Source organism: Homo sapiens, chromosome 2 (genome assembly GCF_000001405.40).
Source record: "Homo sapiens chromosome 2, GRCh38.p14 Primary Assembly".
Taxonomy (NCBI): Eukaryota; Metazoa; Chordata; class Mammalia; order Primates; family Hominidae; genus Homo; species Homo sapiens.
The window spans coordinates 130,331,277-130,348,028 of record NC_000002.12 but is presented as its reverse complement, the minus strand read 5'-3'; the positions used below and the strand labels follow the sequence as shown (position 1 = coordinate 130,348,028).

The 16,752-nt window shown below is 50.3% G+C and overlaps 2 protein-coding genes and 1 non-coding gene across 22 annotated transcripts, besides 4 other annotated features; 2 read left to right on the top strand and 1 right to left on the bottom strand.

Annotated features, from left to right (window-relative positions):
• Positions 1–61: 61 nt before the first annotated feature.
• Positions 62–5,132, bottom strand: IMP4 (IMP U3 small nucleolar ribonucleoprotein 4). Of its 16 annotated transcripts, none has more exons than NM_001320307.2 (9): positions 5,067–5,132; positions 4,835–4,943; positions 3,304–3,400; positions 2,544–2,653; positions 2,330–2,462; positions 2,096–2,250; positions 1,917–2,011; positions 1,755–1,828; positions 62–1,673 (listed from the first exon to the last, which is right to left on the bottom strand). In NM_001320307.2, the coding sequence occupies exons 3-9, from the start codon at positions 3,332–3,334 to the stop codon at positions 1,561–1,563; spliced, it is 711 nt and encodes a 236-aa protein (NP_001307236.1). In that variant the 5' UTR covers positions 3,335–3,400; positions 4,835–4,943; positions 5,067–5,132; the 3' UTR covers positions 62–1,560. The 16 variants fall into 16 exon arrangements, with proteins under 16 accessions (NP_001307236.1, NP_001307239.1, NP_001307240.1 ...); NM_001320310.2 differs by having other exon boundaries at positions 3,317–3,400; NM_001320311.2 differs by having other exon boundaries at positions 2,330–2,453; positions 3,317–3,400.
• Positions 5,100–5,269: an enhancer, noted in NCBI's record as "active region_16527". NCBI's record gives its function as "activates an Ori minimal core promoter by ATAC-STARR-seq in GM12878 lymphoblastoid cells {active_cell/tissue: GM12878}" and the evidence as "EXISTENCE:reporter gene assay evidence [ECO:0000049][PMID:35858748]".
• Positions 5,348–10,096, top strand: VMA22 (vacuolar ATPase assembly factor VMA22). Of its 5 annotated transcripts, none has more exons than NR_104471.1 (6): positions 5,348–5,895; positions 6,085–6,188; positions 6,280–6,362; positions 6,990–7,121; positions 8,267–8,469; positions 8,797–10,096. NR_104471.1 is itself a non-coding variant. In NM_001321118.1 (5 exons), exons 1-5 carry the CDS (start codon positions 5,800–5,802, stop codon positions 8,907–8,909), a joined length of 528 nt encoding a protein of 175 aa, NP_001308047.1. In that variant the 5' UTR covers positions 5,348–5,799; the 3' UTR covers positions 8,910–10,096. The 5 variants fall into 5 exon arrangements, 3 of the variants coding, with proteins under 3 accessions (NP_001308047.1, NP_001308048.2, NP_115733.2); NR_135548.2 differs by having other exon boundaries at positions 5,865–6,014; NM_001321118.1 differs by lacking the exon at positions 8,267–8,469.
• Positions 5,400–5,949: an enhancer, noted in NCBI's record as "active region_16526". NCBI's record gives its function as "activates an Ori minimal core promoter by ATAC-STARR-seq in GM12878 lymphoblastoid cells {active_cell/tissue: GM12878}" and the evidence as "EXISTENCE:reporter gene assay evidence [ECO:0000049][PMID:35858748]".
• Positions 10,830–10,901, top strand: TRE-TTC1-1 (tRNA-Glu (anticodon TTC) 1-1). The gene has a single exon. It is a non-coding gene; the product is annotated as a tRNA-Glu (tRNA).
• Positions 11,043–11,102: an enhancer, noted in NCBI's record as "active region_16525". NCBI's record gives its function as "activates an Ori minimal core promoter by ATAC-STARR-seq in GM12878 lymphoblastoid cells {active_cell/tissue: GM12878}" and the evidence as "EXISTENCE:reporter gene assay evidence [ECO:0000049][PMID:35858748]".
• Positions 15,084–15,634: an enhancer, noted in NCBI's record as "H3K4me1 hESC enhancer chr2:131089968-131090518 (GRCh37/hg19 assembly coordinates)". NCBI's record gives its function as "activates a minimal SCP1, AML or CMV promoter by ChIP-STARR-seq in primed H9 embryonic stem cells {active_cell/tissue: H9 hESC(primed)}" and the evidence as "EXISTENCE:reporter gene assay evidence [ECO:0000049][PMID:30033119]".

Below are 16,752 nucleotides of genomic sequence, written 5' to 3'. Positions count from 1 at the left end.
ACATGCAAGTGCAGGGCCCTCCCTGCCTCTTTTGCACACTGACAGCATATCACACATGGCGTTTCACACCATGCTTCTTTGTATTTAATGTCTATCTTGAGGAGCTTCTCAATGGCTATATCTACAGAGTGGGAAAAACTATTTGCAAACCATGTATCTGGTAAAGGGTTACTATCTGTCTCAACTTGGGCTGTTCTAACAAAATACCACAGACTGGGTAGCTTAAACAACAGGCATTTATTTCTCACAGCTCTGGAGGCTGGGAAGTCCAAGATGGTGGCTCCAGCAGATTCAGTGTCTGGTGAGGGGGGCTTCCTGGTTCACAGATGGTAGCTTCTAGCTGTGTCCTCACATGGCAGGAGGGGCAAAAGAGCTCCCTCGGGCATCTTTTATAAGAGCACTAATTCTATGCAAGAGGGCAGAGTCCTCAGGACCTAATCGCTTCCCTAAACTGTTGACCTTAGGGATGAGAGTTCAATATACGAATTTTTGGGGGACACAAACATTCAGGCCACAGCAGTATCCAAACTATATAAGGGACTCAAGTCAACAACAAAGAACAAATGACCCGGTGTATGCAAAAATGCTCAGTATCACCAACCGTTAGGGAAATGCAAATCAAAACCGCAATGAGAGAGATCACCTCATACCTGTTAGGATAGCTGTTATTAAAAAACACAAGATAAAGAATGTTGGCAACAATGTGGAGAAAAGGGAACCCTAGTGAACTGTTGGTGAGAATGGAAATTAGTACAGCCTTTATGGAAAACAGTATGGCGGTTCCTCAAAAAATTAAAAATAGAACCACCATTTGATGCAGCAATCCCACTTCTGGGTATACATATAAAAAAGAGATGAAATCATTATCTTCAAAAGATAGCTATACTCCCATGTTTACTGCAGCATTTCCACAACTGCCAAACTATGAAAACGACCTAAGTGTCTATTGGTGGACGGATTGGTAAGAAAATGTGGCATGTTATTTTTTACAAGGAAAGAAATCCTATCATTTGCAATAACATGGAGGAACCTGGAGAACATTATGTTAATAGAAATAAGCCAGACACAAAACAAATACCACATGATGCCACTTACATGAGGAATCAGCTGCTGAGCACTGGGTGTGGCCTGTCCCCTCCGCGTTGGCACACTGGCGGCTTCCACTCAGTGAGTTAACTTGGTGGGCTGCCCCTGACACAGGCTGGCCCTGCTACCCACATCTGCCTGCTGAAGAGCTCATATGACCCTCACTCTTGAGGGGACGTTAGCATCAAATCTCTCTCTCTGTTAACCCCCACACTGACTCCAGGCCCAAGCACGTCCCACAGCCATCAGGTCCCCACCCAAAGGGATCCCATGGGCTTTGCCCTGCAGACTTGGCCTGACCACTCAGAGGCAGGCGGGGCCATGACACAGACGGTTTATTCAGACCTCTCCACCCGCCACAGTTCCACATCCCAGTTCAGCAGGCCATTCTGTGACAGTTCCTACTGGTGGGTCTGTCTATGACAGCCCCATCCTGAGTTCCAAGTCCATGTCCTGACTGAGTGGTGAGTGTGCTCACTCGGTGCTCAGGAAGACTCTCTTGCGTGCGGTATTGGTGTAAGGGTGCCAGCGCCACTCCACGTCTGCTGTGGCCTCCTGCTCCAGCGTGCCCAGACGGATCATGTACACTGCAGGCAGGGATGGCATCAGCCCCGGCACAGCCAGCCTCCCCTCCCCACCCCAGACACGGGATTCAGCCTCAAACTCACGCTTCAGCTCAAAGCGGGGCCCGACCTCAGTGAGCTCCACGTTGCGGTGGTCTGTCTTCTTATACACATGGTGCCTGGGAGGGAACAGCTGTGGGTCAACGGCAAGCAGCACGAGGTACACAGGGTGGGGATGCTTTCCTGGGGCATGGCCCGTGGACCCACCGGAATGATATGTAGTCGTCCTGGTTTGCGAAGGTGATGACCCGGTGGCTGTCATCTTTGGGCACGGGAAATAGGTATCGGAGGATGTCAGAGACCTGGGGCACAAGGAAAGAGAGGGAAACAGAGTGGCAAATGCCTGGCCTGGCCCGCAGCCCCAGCCTGAAGGCCCCCAGACTCACCCGCTTGCCCAGGCGGGAGGAGAAGCCGTGTGTGATGAGGTGGGGCTTGGCCTCCGACATGGTGCCCAGGTCTGGGATGTCATGCCGCATGACCACATTGCACAGCGTGAAGTAGGCAGTAGGACCAAAGGGCAGGTGGCTGACGATGAGCCCCACTGGCGGGGAAAGGTGGCTGTCAGAGACCCCGTCTGCCCTCAGACGGCTCCCACCCCGACTCCCTCCCTCCGGCCTTACCAGGTGTGCCCCGATGCTCGTGAACGACCAGCAGATCGGTGACGCCGTTGGCTTTGCAGGCTCGCACCAGTGCCCCCACTTCATGTCGACCTCGGTTCATTCGCTGGGCGCCCGGGAACACCAGCTTCAGCTCCTGGGCGTGGATGGCAGTGTACAGTCAGGACTGGGGCTGTGTGTCCTGGGTGTCTCTCCCTCACTCCCTGCTCACCAGTACCTTTGCAAACATCTTGAGGCGGGAACTGGGGTCTCGGGAGGTAGTGATCATAACCTTGGGATCCTCGACTCCTGCCCATCGGTATTCATCATCCACGTGGCTGGTCACACCTGTCAGGAGCACGAGGGGCAAGAACATGACAGTCTTGGGAATGAAATGCTAACTTCGGGGCAGCCAAGACCGCCTGGATGTCGCTGTCTGCCGAAGCCTTCAACAATAGGAATGCTCCACATGCACACCGGGCAAGAGGGCAGCCTCCAACTACTCTGGCTGCTGAGCACAAGCGTGGCTGAGAAACAGAATCTTTTGTTTAATTGTAGTTTGCTTAAGCTATATTAGTCACATGGGGCTAAGCAGCTACTCCATTACACAACGAAATCCACACTCTGCTAAGGCCAACGGTGACAAACTCTTTTCCCTCGTAACAAATATCTATAATGTTTGGGATTCCTTTCTTGTTTCTTGAATAATGCAGTGAATAAACGTATGGGCACCAATAATGTGTGAGGGACACTGTCTTTCCCCAGCAGGCACTCCAGTGGGGGAGGTAATTAACAAGCCAGGTGCAGAGTCAGTGAGGCACTCCCATGTGTGCCATGTAAGTGGGACAGGGCACACTCAGGGAGAGCCCTGCAATGCCATCTGTGCAGTGACAAGGGCATGGGGGACAGTTCCAGGAGCAGTTTCCTCTGATGGGATGGTGCCCGGTGTGTCTGAGGAAGGACTGGAGACCTGCCAGCTCAGTGTTGGGGAGGGCTACCTTGTATAGTTACCTTCACCTCCAGCATCATCAAACTCCAGGGACCCCTGTAAGGCCAGAGCCTCTCGGCGTAACTCAGTGGGAATCAGGCGGTTTTCTGCAGAGGGAAGAGAGAGGGGCTGAGTGAGTCACAAGCATGGAGACCTCAGCTCATCCAATACACCACAGCTTATTAGCCTGCACATGCTTGAAATAAAAATACCTCAGCCCTTTCTGAGCTTGGATAAAGCATGGATAGAGGTGACAAAACTTTCTACAGGCCAACCCCCATAAACAGTGGTTACTAGGACTTCATTTTCTTTAGTCTCATGACTTGAGGACTTTCTAAAATATCTTAATGTACTGTATTGCTTTTATAATCAGGTAGAAATCTAAACATCGATTTTTTTTTTTTTTGAGACGGAGTCTCGCTCTGTCACCCAGGCAGAGCAGTGCAGTGGTGCCATCTCGGCTCACTGCAAGCTCCGCTTCCTGGGTTCACGCCATTCTCCTGCCTCAGGCTGGCGAGTAGCTGGGACTACAGGAGCCCGCCACGGCGCCCGGCTAATTTTTTATATTTTTAGTAGAGACGGGGTTTCACCGTGTTAGCCAGGATGGTCTCGATCTCCTGACCTCGTGATCCACCCGCTTCGGCCTCCCAAAGTGCTGGGATTACAGGCGTGAGCCACAGCGCTCGGCCTTAAAAATTACTTTTGAAAAGAAATATAGACTGTTCTGTACGTATGATGGTGGACCAGAGACCTTTAAGCTCTCAGACAGCAAAACCGTTGGTCACGATGCCCACAGCGCTTCGAAGGCATGGCTTCAGCGGGCCCTGGACCACAGGCTGCCTACCGCAGAGCACAGCGCTCCAGGTGCGCACTCGGGGCCAGCACTGTTCCCCACGGAGCTCAGAGGAACTCCTGCAGGGAGGATGGGCAGCGCAGTCTGCAGCACCAGCGCTATCCAGATAGTCTTTAGAGAGAATTTCTTTTTTTTTTTTTTTTTGAGACGGAGTCTTGCTTTTTTGCCCAGGCTGGAGTGCAGTGGCAGGATCTCGGCTCACTGCAACCTCCGCCTCCCGGGTTCAAGCGATTCTCCTGCCTCAGCCTCCTGAGTAGCTGGGATTACAGGCGCGTGCCACCACGGCCGGCTAATTTTTGTATGTTTAGTAGAGACGAGATTTCACCATGTTGGTCAGGCTCGAACTCCTGACCTCATGATCCGCCCGCCTCGGCCTCCCAAAGTGCTGGGATTACAGCAGTGAGCCACCGCTCTAAAGAGAATTTCTACAGGACAAGATAAAGTCTTTAAAACTTGGGACGAACTTGACACACTGCACACAGCGGGCAAGCTGCAAAACCCGGGTACTGCAACGTCAGTGACAAGTAATTAATACCATCACACGGAAGAAACACTCTCAAAACCAACAGGAGAACCCAATGGGCAAGGAAAACGGCCGGCAAGCATTTGGAAAGACGCTCGGATATTCGAACACAAATGCGTGCCGGGGTGGTTTACCACGCAGACGCCCGCGGGGCCGATGCCTTACCTTCCAGCGCGCGCCGCAGCCGCTCCTTCCTCTCCTGGGCTGAGCGCTGCGCCTCCTCCCGGGCCTTGCGGTACAGGTACTCGCGGCGCAGGCGGGCCTCGCGGCGCAGCTGTGGGAACAGCAGGCCCAGTCACTCACTACTCGCTCCCGAGCCCCGGAACCCCGGAGCCCCGGAGCCGCTGAGCCTCCAAGTCCCCAGAGCCACATCCCCAGCACTTCACGCGCCCCGGACCTCCGAAACAGGAGCTCATTCTCCTACCATCTTGAGTGCCGCTTCCACGTGGGTCCGGGAGAATCTGTGGGCTCCTCCAGCGCGACACAGTCCTCACTTCCGCCCTCAACCAAGATGGTCCCTTAGACGCTTCACTGGTGCCTGCAGCTGTGGGGAATGCCCTATGTTAAGATGGCGAATAGGGCGGGGACATCTCAAGGCGATTGGCCATTCCGGCAGGGCGTTCTCCTTGGGATAACCGATAGACTGGATACAGAATGTCACACGTGACTTAGGACCGCAGCTAATAAATATGTCCGCCCAGGCTTCTCCATCCTCGTCCTCCCCCCACCACCGCCGTGCAGAATGCAGTTTTCAGATGACGAACCGCTAAAACAATCATAATTAGCGGCTGGAAACAGTTCAACTGTAAAAACCGCACACCGACTGAAGGTTGCTTGCCGGCTCCTTTCCAAATTAACTTTAAAACCACTCTTCCCTCAACCAAAATGGTTTCTGTAGAGCTTCGCCTTCTTCCATCGCCACAACAGTGGCGCGACTTCTAAGATTCGGCAGCTTCCGGAAGGACTCAGAACCACCTATAACCCTAGCCGACAGTTCAGCAGGCTGATCCACTTGGGGGCTAATTGGAGAAACCAGTTGATTGGTTGCTTCCGTGCTGCTTCTCTAAGGGCGCTTGCCCTTAAAGAAGCTGACCCAGAGGCCTTGGTGCTGCCGGCGTGGGGATCCCCAGATGGGAACGCCCCTTGATGGAGGATCTCGTGTGCCTATTGGCTGTCCTGCCAAACTGCGGAGGGTGACAAGGAAGAAGGTGGCTCCAGATCTGGAGGTGTGTCCATGGCGGCGCTTGACCTGCGAGCGGAGCTGGATTCGCTGGTCCTGCAGCTGCTTGGGGACCTGGAGGAGCTGGAGGGGAAACGAACGGTGTTGAACGCCCGGGTGGAGGAGGTAGGCGCCTGGGGCGGGCAGGAGGGTACACGGGCGTAAACTGAGTCTCACCGCTTTCCTCTCCCTGCAGGGCTGGCTCTCGCTCGCCAAGGCTCGCTACGCGATGGGCGCCAAGTCGGTAGGGCCCCTGCAGTATGCTTCCCACATGGAGCCCCAGGTCTGCCTCCACGCCAGGTGAGGAAGCTTCCATGCTGGGCTGGGTGGGCGGGCGGGCGCGTTCTAGGCCCGGGCTGCCAAAGCTCCATCCTCCCTTCTCGTCCTTCAGCGAGGCCCAGGAGGGACTCCAGAAGTTCAAGGTGGTGAGAGCTGGTGTCCACGCCCCAGAGGAGGTGGGGCCTCGCGAAGCAGGTGAGCCCCCTCTTCCTTCTGCAGAACCCCTTCCCAGTGTCAAAGACAAAATGCAAATTATGGAGATGATTTAAATTAGGTTTTTGCGATAAGAGAGAGCATCCCAGAGCAGAAGAACAGAATGTTTTTGTAGGGTGGTTTTGCCTTAGACTTTTATAGGAAGTAGAGAAATTGTTGGTGAGTTGCTTTACACTGGGAATAGATTTACAATCACATACATTTCAGTCAGCTGAACAGAAAATATTTATCTGTGTGTCTAGCTAGTTTCAGAGGGACAAACTTCTAATCCCAGTTAATCATCCTGAGACAAAGAATGGGGAGTTGGAACGTCTATGTCTGGTCTGTTGGCATGTTCAGGTACAATGGGTAAGATCAGTGTCACAGGCAAACAGGGTCATCAGTGGGTCTTACAGGAGTCACGGGAAAGAGTGGACAAACAGTCTCATCTGAATCACAAGGGGAAAGGCTGTGTTTTGTGGTAAGCTGTTTCCTGGAACCCCAAAGTTGGAATTTTCCAACCAACAGTGTTTTATAGAATCATGAGCTCAGATCAAGCTCAACATTGTCACCAAGATGATAAAGGTCAGGGAGTAAGATCCCAGCCTCCTCCAACCTTTCTTTCCTCAGGTCTGCGGAGGCGCAAGGGCCCCACTAAGACCCCAGAACCGGAGTCCTCTGAGGCCCCTCAGGACCCCCTGAACTGGTTTGGAATCCTAGTTCCTCACAGTCTACGTCAGGCTCAAGCAAGCTTCCGGGATGGTGAGTGGACCGTGTTGTTTGGCTCTGTGGCCCTCAGACCCTCTATCCACAGGGAACACTTGAGCACTGCTGCCATGGCTGGGGTTAGTCTGTGAAAGGCTTTGCAGGTTTTCCTCCATCCAAACTTCCGTTGTACACCCATTATTTTTTCCAAAAGCATTTACTGGTTGTTGGCAGCATTCGGGTTCATGCTAGCTGCTGGGGATACAGCAGGGAACAAAAGAGACAAACACTTTTCATGTAATGTTTAGAAGCAGACAAAGGCAACGTGCAAATAAGTAGGCCCTTAACATAAGTCAGGCTGTGAAAATTGTTATGAAAAACACATAATGGAGTGGGACAGGAGTGGGCCAGGGGAGGTCTCTCTGAGGAGGTGAAGGAAAAGCTTTGTGGGTGATTTTGGGGAACAGTGCTCTAGATGGAGGAACCAGCCAGGACAAAAGCCCTGAAGCCAGATATATCTGGTATGTGCCGAGGCCGGTGGCCTAGAGTGGAGTCAGGTGATGTAAGCCCTGATGAAGACTGTGGGACCCACAGAGAGGCTCTGAGCAGAGGATGGTGCAACTGGCTGTACAGGGTCACAGGAATGCTTGGGTGCTGGGCGGGGACACAGAGCAGAGGGAGGAAGTAGGTGTCAGGGAGCAGCCAGTGTGAGAAGCAGATAGCGTCACTGGAGGAGGAGGTAAGTGGTGGGAACCTGCACAGGTTTTAAGAATAGAAGCCCCAGAATTTGCTGACAGATAAGATATGGGAGTAAGGGAAGGAAAGGAGTCCAGGAGAGCCTGCGGTCTCCACCCAGAACCCCTGGGAGGATGGAGCGACCCTCACCTGCTGTGGGCAGCTGAGAGGATTCCAGAAGGCAGGAGTTGGTGTGGTCTGTGTGGTATCCACCGACGCCCTGCTGGAGAGTCTGAGTGGGCACTTGGGCACATGTATCTGGAGTTTGGGAGAGGCCTGGGCTGGAGAGAGATTTGGGAGTCCACTGCATAGCACTGGTGTTTAAATTCCAAAGTTTTTGACACAAACACTGGTTTAAAGCTGAGATAGGATGAGATCAGCAGAGGGCCTGGGGAGTATGGACGGGAGGTGAGGGAGAAGAGGGGAGAAGCCAGTCAAGGAAACTGAGGAGCAACACCTGGGGGCAGGTGTCCTGGAGGCCAAGAAGAGAAAGTGTTTCCTGGAGCGAGTGATCCAATGTGTGGTCAGCCCTGCTGCTGAACAGGAGGCCGAAGACGAGAGCTGCCCGGAGGACTGGGCAGCAGCTGTTCCAGCAGAGACATCAGCAAAAGCCATCTAGAGGTGGATCCAGAGTGTGGACTAACAGAGAAAAGAAGTGGAGGGAGAGCAGGTGAGGGCAGAGAGATGCTGTAATAATGGGGGAAGGAAGGAAATGAGGGCATGAAATGGTATTACTATCTGTGAATTTTTAGTTCCTGGTGGGTGATATAATGGGTCCAGGAAGTCTAAGGAGGTGACATTTTAGCAAAGACCTGAAGGAGGTGTAAGGCCTCAGAGGTTCTGGAGCAGCCAATGCAGGGCCGTACCTGGAATGTTTTGGGACAAGTGTGGGGGGCAGAGAGGCCTGAAGCCTTTCCAATTTCTGGGGATATCCAGATCCTCCTGGGTCGTGTGTTACACTACAGATACCATGGTGACCTTCTCTCCTTTCCTCCAGGCCTGCAGCTGGCCGCAGACATAGCCAGCCTCCAGAACCGCATTGACTGGGGTCGAAGCCAGCTCCGGGGACTCCAAGAGAAACTCAAGCAGCTGGAGCCTGGGGCTGCCTGACATGCGCGCAAAGAGGCAGGGCAGCGAGCACAGCTGTTCTCCGACATGGCTACGTGATCTCAGGCCTTCTTCCTTCACAATTAGCTCTTGCCCCTACCCCACGCCAGCTAATGCCCCTTCTGTGTCCCTGCTCTGCATGTTTCCATTTTCCTTAGGTGTGAAGTTTGAAGAGGCAAACAGTAATTTTGAAAGCCACTACTTTGAAACCATTCTAAGGCCTGAGTTCCCATAGGACACACTCACATAGGCAGGTACACGTTAGTCAACAATTGGAACTGCCTCTTGGATCACTCAGCTGTGCTTTCATGGCTGGATGATGGAACACTGTGCGAAGAGAGATGGGGGCCAGGAAGTAGCGCTTCATGCTTAGTACATCCTCCAAATTGTCTTTGCTGGAGGAGAAAACCGTACTCAGCCAAAAGATCAGGACAATATGACTTGAGTCCACAAGGACACAAACACCTGAGTAGCTGGGCAGCCCTTGGCAGGGTCTAAGCCAGGAAGTAAAAATGATCTGGCCTAGATATTTAAGGGAACTCTAGGAAGAGGCCTAGGTTTTTAAAATCCTGTCTCTTTGTCTTACCATAAGAGGCTGAGCCTCTCTTCATTTTTTTGAAGGGCCACTTGTGTTTTCTGTTCTGGGAACTTCATTCATTTTTCTACTGGGTTGTTGATCTTTGCAGTAATTTCTAGGAGCTGTTTATGTTTGGAGGTAATTGGTCCTTTGTCCATATATATGAGATGTAAGTCTTATTTTCCAGTTTATCTTTTTGCTTATTTTTTTTGACTTTTTATTGTAAAATAAAACATCAAACTGCACAGAACAGTTGAATAGCTTAATGAATAACTACAGTAAAAGCTATGGTAACCACTACCCAACTTTTGTGTTTTTTGATCATTATTTGTACGTACAGTTGAATGTATCCAGCTGTCACATGATTCTGAATTTGGGTTTGTAACTGATAAGGCAATCAGGGAATTCTCCAGCATTTTCAAGAACCTCTGTGGTTTCAGTTGAAATGTCCAGTGAGTCATGTCCAGCTTTTCCACCATCCTCCCACGTGCTGTATGTCGGTTAATGCTGCCCTTTTGTTTTGCTAACTCCCAGTGTAAACCTAATGTAATTTGGGGGTTTTCATTCTGTTTCGTGGACATTACTGTCAATACACCAGTACCACATTGTTTTACTTCTTGAACTTTAACATAATCCCTGTATGGCAGATTCGCGTTGGGTTGAGGGGTCGTTTATTGGCCCTGTTGACCTTGAGTTGCCAGGGAAAAGACTAATGGGGGAACTCAAATGGAACCCCTGTGACTGCAGGAAAAACGGGTATCTGCCCCCAAACCTCACCAAAGGTTGCCTTTTGTAACAAAGATCCTATCCACAAGGTTCCAGTTAGTGAGATTCTGAAGCCAAAGTAAGGAAAAAAATAAGTCAATTTTGCTGGGGCCACAAATTCTTCCAGGAGGAGGTGCGACCCCGTGGAGCACGCCCTTCGCTGCTGATTGTGGGCGGACACTGGGGTGGGCACGTGCCTCCCACTGCTGGCTTGGGGCTGGACTCACAGGTGGCCATCCTCCTATCAGGGCGAGGCCATGGGCTCTGCAAATAGGGTTGGATGAAGACAGCAAATCTTTAGCAAAGCATCCTTAACTTGCTGCCCTGACCTTCTGCCCTAACTCCAGCTCTTGGGGAGACCGCCAGGAAAGGGGATTCTGGCTTCTGTGGGGAAGTGGCTTGTCCCACCAGGGCTAAGTCGAGAGACTGGGTTCATGCAGCGAGTCTGGCACGGCTGCAGTCATACGAGTTTCTACAGGGACAGCAGGAGCTCAGTGCTGCGCAGTGGTAGTTGGGAGGCGCTGGCGGTGAAGCTGACGCATGTCACGTATACAGACACGGTGGCGTCACCTTTCAGCAGTTCCCATATGGTCTAGCGGTTAGGATTCCTGGTTTTCACCCAGGTGGCCCGGGTTCGACTCCCGGTATGGGAACAAAAGTGGCTTTTTTTTTTTTTTTTGCGGGTGTATATTTTTTTCTTTCAACTTGAAAATGTTCGCCAGAAGAACTTTGACTTTTCGCCACTAGAACGCTCCAGGCCAGATTGGGTATTTCCTCTTCACTTGAACTTGGAGAAACAGGCCCAGGGAGATCCGGGCCCCATCGCTGTGTGTTTTGATGGCAGTGACCATTTTCATCATGACATTAGCTAGTTGTTTTGACCATCAATAGCTTACTGAGTATATTAGATGCTATATACATCGCAGATGTGAATATTAGAAGTAGTGAAATGCCCGATAACATTGAAAATATTCAAAATGTGTTGCTGTGGAACCCCCAGCAGAAGGCAGATCCCCACTGGCCTCCATCACGCTCCAGCGCACTTGCTCAGGTTGGCAGGAGCCACCTCGGGTCCGTGAGCTGCCTCTGCAAGGCAGGGATAGGAAGTCCTAGGAAGTCTACTGGGAGCATAGCACTCTGGAAAAATTTACCTTTCTCTCTTGCTGCTGCTTTGTTTTGTCCAGTAGTCAGGGTTCCCGTTTTCTCACTGGGACAGTCCGGGCTTGACTCCACTCCCCCAGCAGAAAACCAACTTCAAACTTCAATGATGCCTTCGTGCCAGCACACAAACACATGTCCGGTGGAAAGGAGAACCCAGCTGGGTGAGGCGGCAGCTTCAGTCCCAGCTACTAAGGAGGCTGAGGCTGGAGGATCGCCTGAGCCCAGGAGGTTGAGGCTGCAGTGAGCCGAGGTCATGCCAGTACCCTCCAACCTGGGCTACAGAGTCAGACCTCTTAACTAAAAAAGACATTGTTTTTTGGCTTGCTCAATTAATCCAGGGAGATTGTATGTAAGGCTGAGGTCATGTCTTCAGCAATTACTGCCACACTCATTCATTCATTCATTCATACCTTTGTTTTTTATAATTATCACTAGTAAGCATACCAATGAAAATTTTTGTTCTGGCACATAAAGAGCTTCAAAATCATCACTTCCATCCTTACAACAAGAAAAAAGCTGAACGAACTGGAAAATCAACAACTCTTCGATTCCTCAGAAAATTGAGGTCACGTGGCAAACCACTCCCCTGAAAATGAGAAGGAAAGGCAAATACAGAGCTACAGCTTGCCAGGCACAGAAGCTGCTGCTGCAGCCAGCAACCTGTAGGAAAACTTAAAGGGTAACTGACTAACTGCTAGAGCCTGGGCATGTAAGCATAAGAGAGAAAAGATGCTGGGGACATAGCCTTAAGGGGCCCCCACAGTCTCATGGGTTTTAGCTCCAGGAATTCTATCTTGTTCTTGGGTGAAAATCAGAGAAAAATCTGCTGGAGCTTCTGGCAAGGGGAGGAAAGTGTAACCACTTTGAAATGCACACATAACGTCCTGTCCTCTTTAACAAAGGCTTAAAGTCAGAGCAACTACCAGAGCCTACCCAACCCAAGGGAAGGAAAATATCCACCTCCAGTCTGCTTTAGTCTTCCAACTCACATTAAAAAAAAGCTGAGAAGCACTTGTGAGTGGCACAGCCTAGGGACCACTGGTTCACAACAAGACTGGGCCCTGATCATGGGTTTATAGACCACTCCCTGCTGTCCCCACATCTTACTGCCACATCACTTAGGGCTCCTATATATTAACAAGGGATTGCAGCTGAAAGAACTGCAAGGCCCAGAATTTATGTAAGAAGCAGTCTCTAGGGAAACCCAAAGGCAACAGGGGATGCAAAAACAAGGACACTAGAGGAAATTTTAGCCTCTGACATTTACAGCTACAGCAAACAAGAAACACAGCCTCCCTCCTTAGTCAGATAAATATAAAACTTCACACTAAAAGCCTATTTACCTCAGTTCCTCTCACCTTATGCATGTTTGGCTTTCAACAGAAAATTACAAGATGGGAGATAAAACATTTCTGCAGCAGAATGCCTCCATCAGCCAGTTGCCTGCCTGTGGAATTTTGGAAGCCCCATGGCCTTCCTTTATTCCATTCCATCTCTGTCCCTTAGATTCCAGGCTGCCATGTTTCTACTGCTATCAGAATCTCAAAACCTTTGTCTCCTGCATAATTCATGGGGTTTCAGCCAACAGACAAAGGGGCCCTCCACAGATCTTTCCTTGGTAACCCCATCTCTATTTCTGGCTTCTGCTGAGGTGGTGGAGTGGTTCCATGAGTCACATGTCCAATCTCTTTAGCAAAATGTTATCCAGCCACACCCTTGGTCCTCTTTCCAGAGTACACTTTCTAACAGTGAGTTTCCTAATTTTTGTAGTCTTTGTAATCTGGACATCCCGAGAGCCCCTAAATCATTAAGTGCCAGCTCCTTTCTGCTTGACTGTTCTTTGCTCGATGTAACTTTTTCCTCTCACAGTTCCTATTAGCAGCAAGCAGGTTGTACCTTCAACACTTCCCTCAACTAAATATCCAAGCGTTTAATATCCAAGCTTATTATTTATCATGTCTACTTTCCACATAACAACAGAACACAATTTAGTCAAGTTCTCTACCACTTTATAACAAAGATCTCTTTTACTCAGCTGTCAAAGAATATGTTCCTCATTTCTTTCTAAGACCTCACCAGAGGCACCTTTAACATTAGGTTTCTACTAACATTCTGTTCATGACAATATATGTATTCTCTAAGAGCATCAGTCCTCAACCTTTTTGGCACCAGGGACAGGGGCTGGGGGGCTGGGAGGATTATGGGATGGCTTCAGGATGAAGCTGTTCCACCTTAGATCATCAGGCATTAGTTAGATTCTCATAAGGACTGCACAGCTTCGATCCCCAGCATGCACAGTTCCCAATAGGGTTCATGCTCCTATGAGAATCTAATGCCCCGCTGGTATGACAGGAGGCGGAGCTCAGGCGGTAATGCTGGATCACTGGCCGCTCACCTCCTGCTGTGTGGCCTGGTTCCTAACAGCCAGGGACCTGTACCAGTCCTTGGCCTGGGGGTTGGGGACCCCTGCTAAGAGGATAGAAGCTTCTCTACAGCTCTTCTCACTTCCTTCTGAGCTTTCATTAGAGTTACTGTCCACATCTCCATCAACTGTTTCCTTAATGGATTCTAGGCTTTTTCTATCACGTGCCTCAAACTTCTTCCAGCCTCTCCCTGATTCCAAAGCTCCTTCCACGTTTTAGTTATTTGTTACAGAAACATCCTACTTCCTGGCACCAGTGTCTGTATTGGTTTCCTAGGCTGCCACAGTAATTTAACACAAACTTCATAATTTATCCTCTCACAGTTATGAAAGTCAGAAGTCTGGAATCCAGGTGCTGGCAGACCTGTGTGTCCTCTGAAGGCTCTAGGGAAGAACGCTTCTCTGCTTGTCCTAGCTTCTGGTGGTTCTGATTGTCCCTGGCACTCCTTGAGTTGTAGCTACATCGCTCTGATCTCTGGCCCCATCCTTCACGTGGCCTTCTTCTCCATATGTATCCACGTGTCCTCTCCTTCTCCTGCAAGAACAGCAGTCACTGGATATAGAACCTACTCTAAGCTGGGTGTGGTGGCTCACGCCTATAATCCCAGCAATTTGGGAGAGCGAGGCAGGTGGATCACCTGAGGTTGGGAGTTGGAGACCAGCCTGACCAACATGGAGAAACCCCGTCTCTACCGAAAATACAAAATTACCTGGGCATGGTGGCGCATGCCTGTAATCCCAGCTACTTGGGAGGCTAAGGCAGAAGAATCACTTGAACCCAGGAGGCGGAGGTTGCTGTGGGCCGAGAGAGCGCTACTGCACTCTAGCCTGGGCAACAAAAGTGAAACTCCATCTCCAAACAAACAAAACAAAACAAAACAAACAGACAAAAAAAAAAAAAAAAAAAAAAAAACACACACAGAAAAAAGAGCCTACTCTAATCCAGTACAAATCACCTTAACTTAATTACATCTGCAAGATTCTATTCCCAAATTAAATCATCTTCTGAGGTTGTGGGTAGACACGATATTTTTTTTCTTTTTGATGGGGAGACACTGTTCAACCCAAGACAGAGCACGTGGAGGGACAAACTGCAAAAACAGTGGATTCCTATAACAAAGTTTTAAAAATGCTGCCTTGACCCACTTTTGAGGCCCTGGCTAGAGGTCAGTTTCCCTTCTTGGGCACCCGATTAAGTTCATACTTGCAACCACTGGACTCTCTCACTCTGAGCTAATCAAACCCCTCCCCACCCCATAACACGTGCTCTCTCGGGAACTGTGAGTAAAATGTTTCAGCGTCACTCATGTCTTATCTTTTCAATATCAGTCATTTCCTAATCTGAATAATGTTACCTAAATAATAATAAAACCTATTGAAGCAGCGGGCCCAGCAAGCAGGGTGGTTTGGTGGGCTACAATGACGGCCACTAGGCCGCCCTTGCTTACAGACTGGCCCCACCAGGTGGCAGCACCAGTCCGGGGCACAGCTACGTTTTGCCGTCTAACGGGTGTCTGGTGAATCTCATTCCTAAATTGTGAAACTTTGAGTCATCCAGAGTTTCTCCTAAACCAAGGTATCAAGTGCTTCGGGCAGCTCAAATTAATTGGCTACTTCTGGTTGTCAAAAAACTCCACAGAAGCGGGCAAGGAGTGAGGAGGGGGTGTGGCTCTCCTCCAGGTGCCATGGAGCCGGCTGAGTGGCTCCATGTCAGGCAACGCGGACACATGGCTGGCAACACAATCACTCTCTACGGCCCATTCCACCTTACGGCGGGAGACCGCACTGCCAGGACGGCCCAGGGCCTGGTGGCTCACGGGGTCGGTGCGCCAGCAGCCTCTTCCGGGATCCACCGCATCCCGCGAGTCCTTGATAGTATTTGTAGACTGCTGTGGTGTTGTCTGCCTTGATGCTGTCGCAGTTTGTCCCTCGAACCCCGTGCAGTACAAGGGCTCACACCCACGGAGACCGCTGGCACAGTGCTTAATAAAAAATGAAGGCCGGGCGCGGTGGCTCACACCTGTAATCCCAGCACTTTGGGAGGCCGAGGCGGGTGGATCACGAGGTCAGGAGATCGAGACCATCCTGGCCAACATGGTGAACCCCCGTCTCTACTAAAAATACAAAAAATTAGCTGGGCGTGGTGGCGGGCGCCTATAGTCCCAGTTACTCGGGAGGCTGAGGCAGGAGAATCGCTTGAATCGGGGAGGTGGAGCTTGCAGTGAGCCAAGATTGCGCCACTGCACTCCAGCCTGGGAGACAAAGCGAGACTCCGTCTCAAAAACAAAAAAAACAAAAAAACAAAAACAAAAATAAAAAATAAAAAATAAATCAAAGGGGAGGGAACACCTTCTTCCTGCCCTGTCCGAGACCCCCAACAAGGAGGTCACACAGTTGATTCCGGAATGAGAACCCCTGGACTCTGGCCTCGCAGAGCAGTGATGGTTGGGTTAGGTTGGTGAAAGTAGAAATGAAGAAATGTGGGTGAGTTCAAGAGATACTGATGTAGTGGAATTAGTGTGTCTTTGCAATGTTTTGGATGTGAGGGGTGAAAGAGCAATTAAAGCTGTTTTCCAGATTTCTGCCTCATGCAACTGTTTGTGCCTTTCACTGCAGAAACTGGAGACTAAACTGGACTGGAAGTGCGTAGTTTTTTCGTTTTTGTTTTTTGGAGATAGGATCTTGCTATGCTTTCCACGCTGGACTTGAATTCCAAGGCTGAAAGGATACCATCCTCCACCTCAGCCTCCTGAGTAGCTGGGACTACAGGTGTGTGCCCCTGTACCCAGCTTCATGAGTTTAGTTTTATACATGTTGAATTTTAGCTATCTTGGTTAAAGATTTCAAGGTAGAATATGTGGGTCTGTAGCTCAGTGGAGAGGCTGGTTATGTTGGTTATGTGTTCCATCTCGATGTTGAAG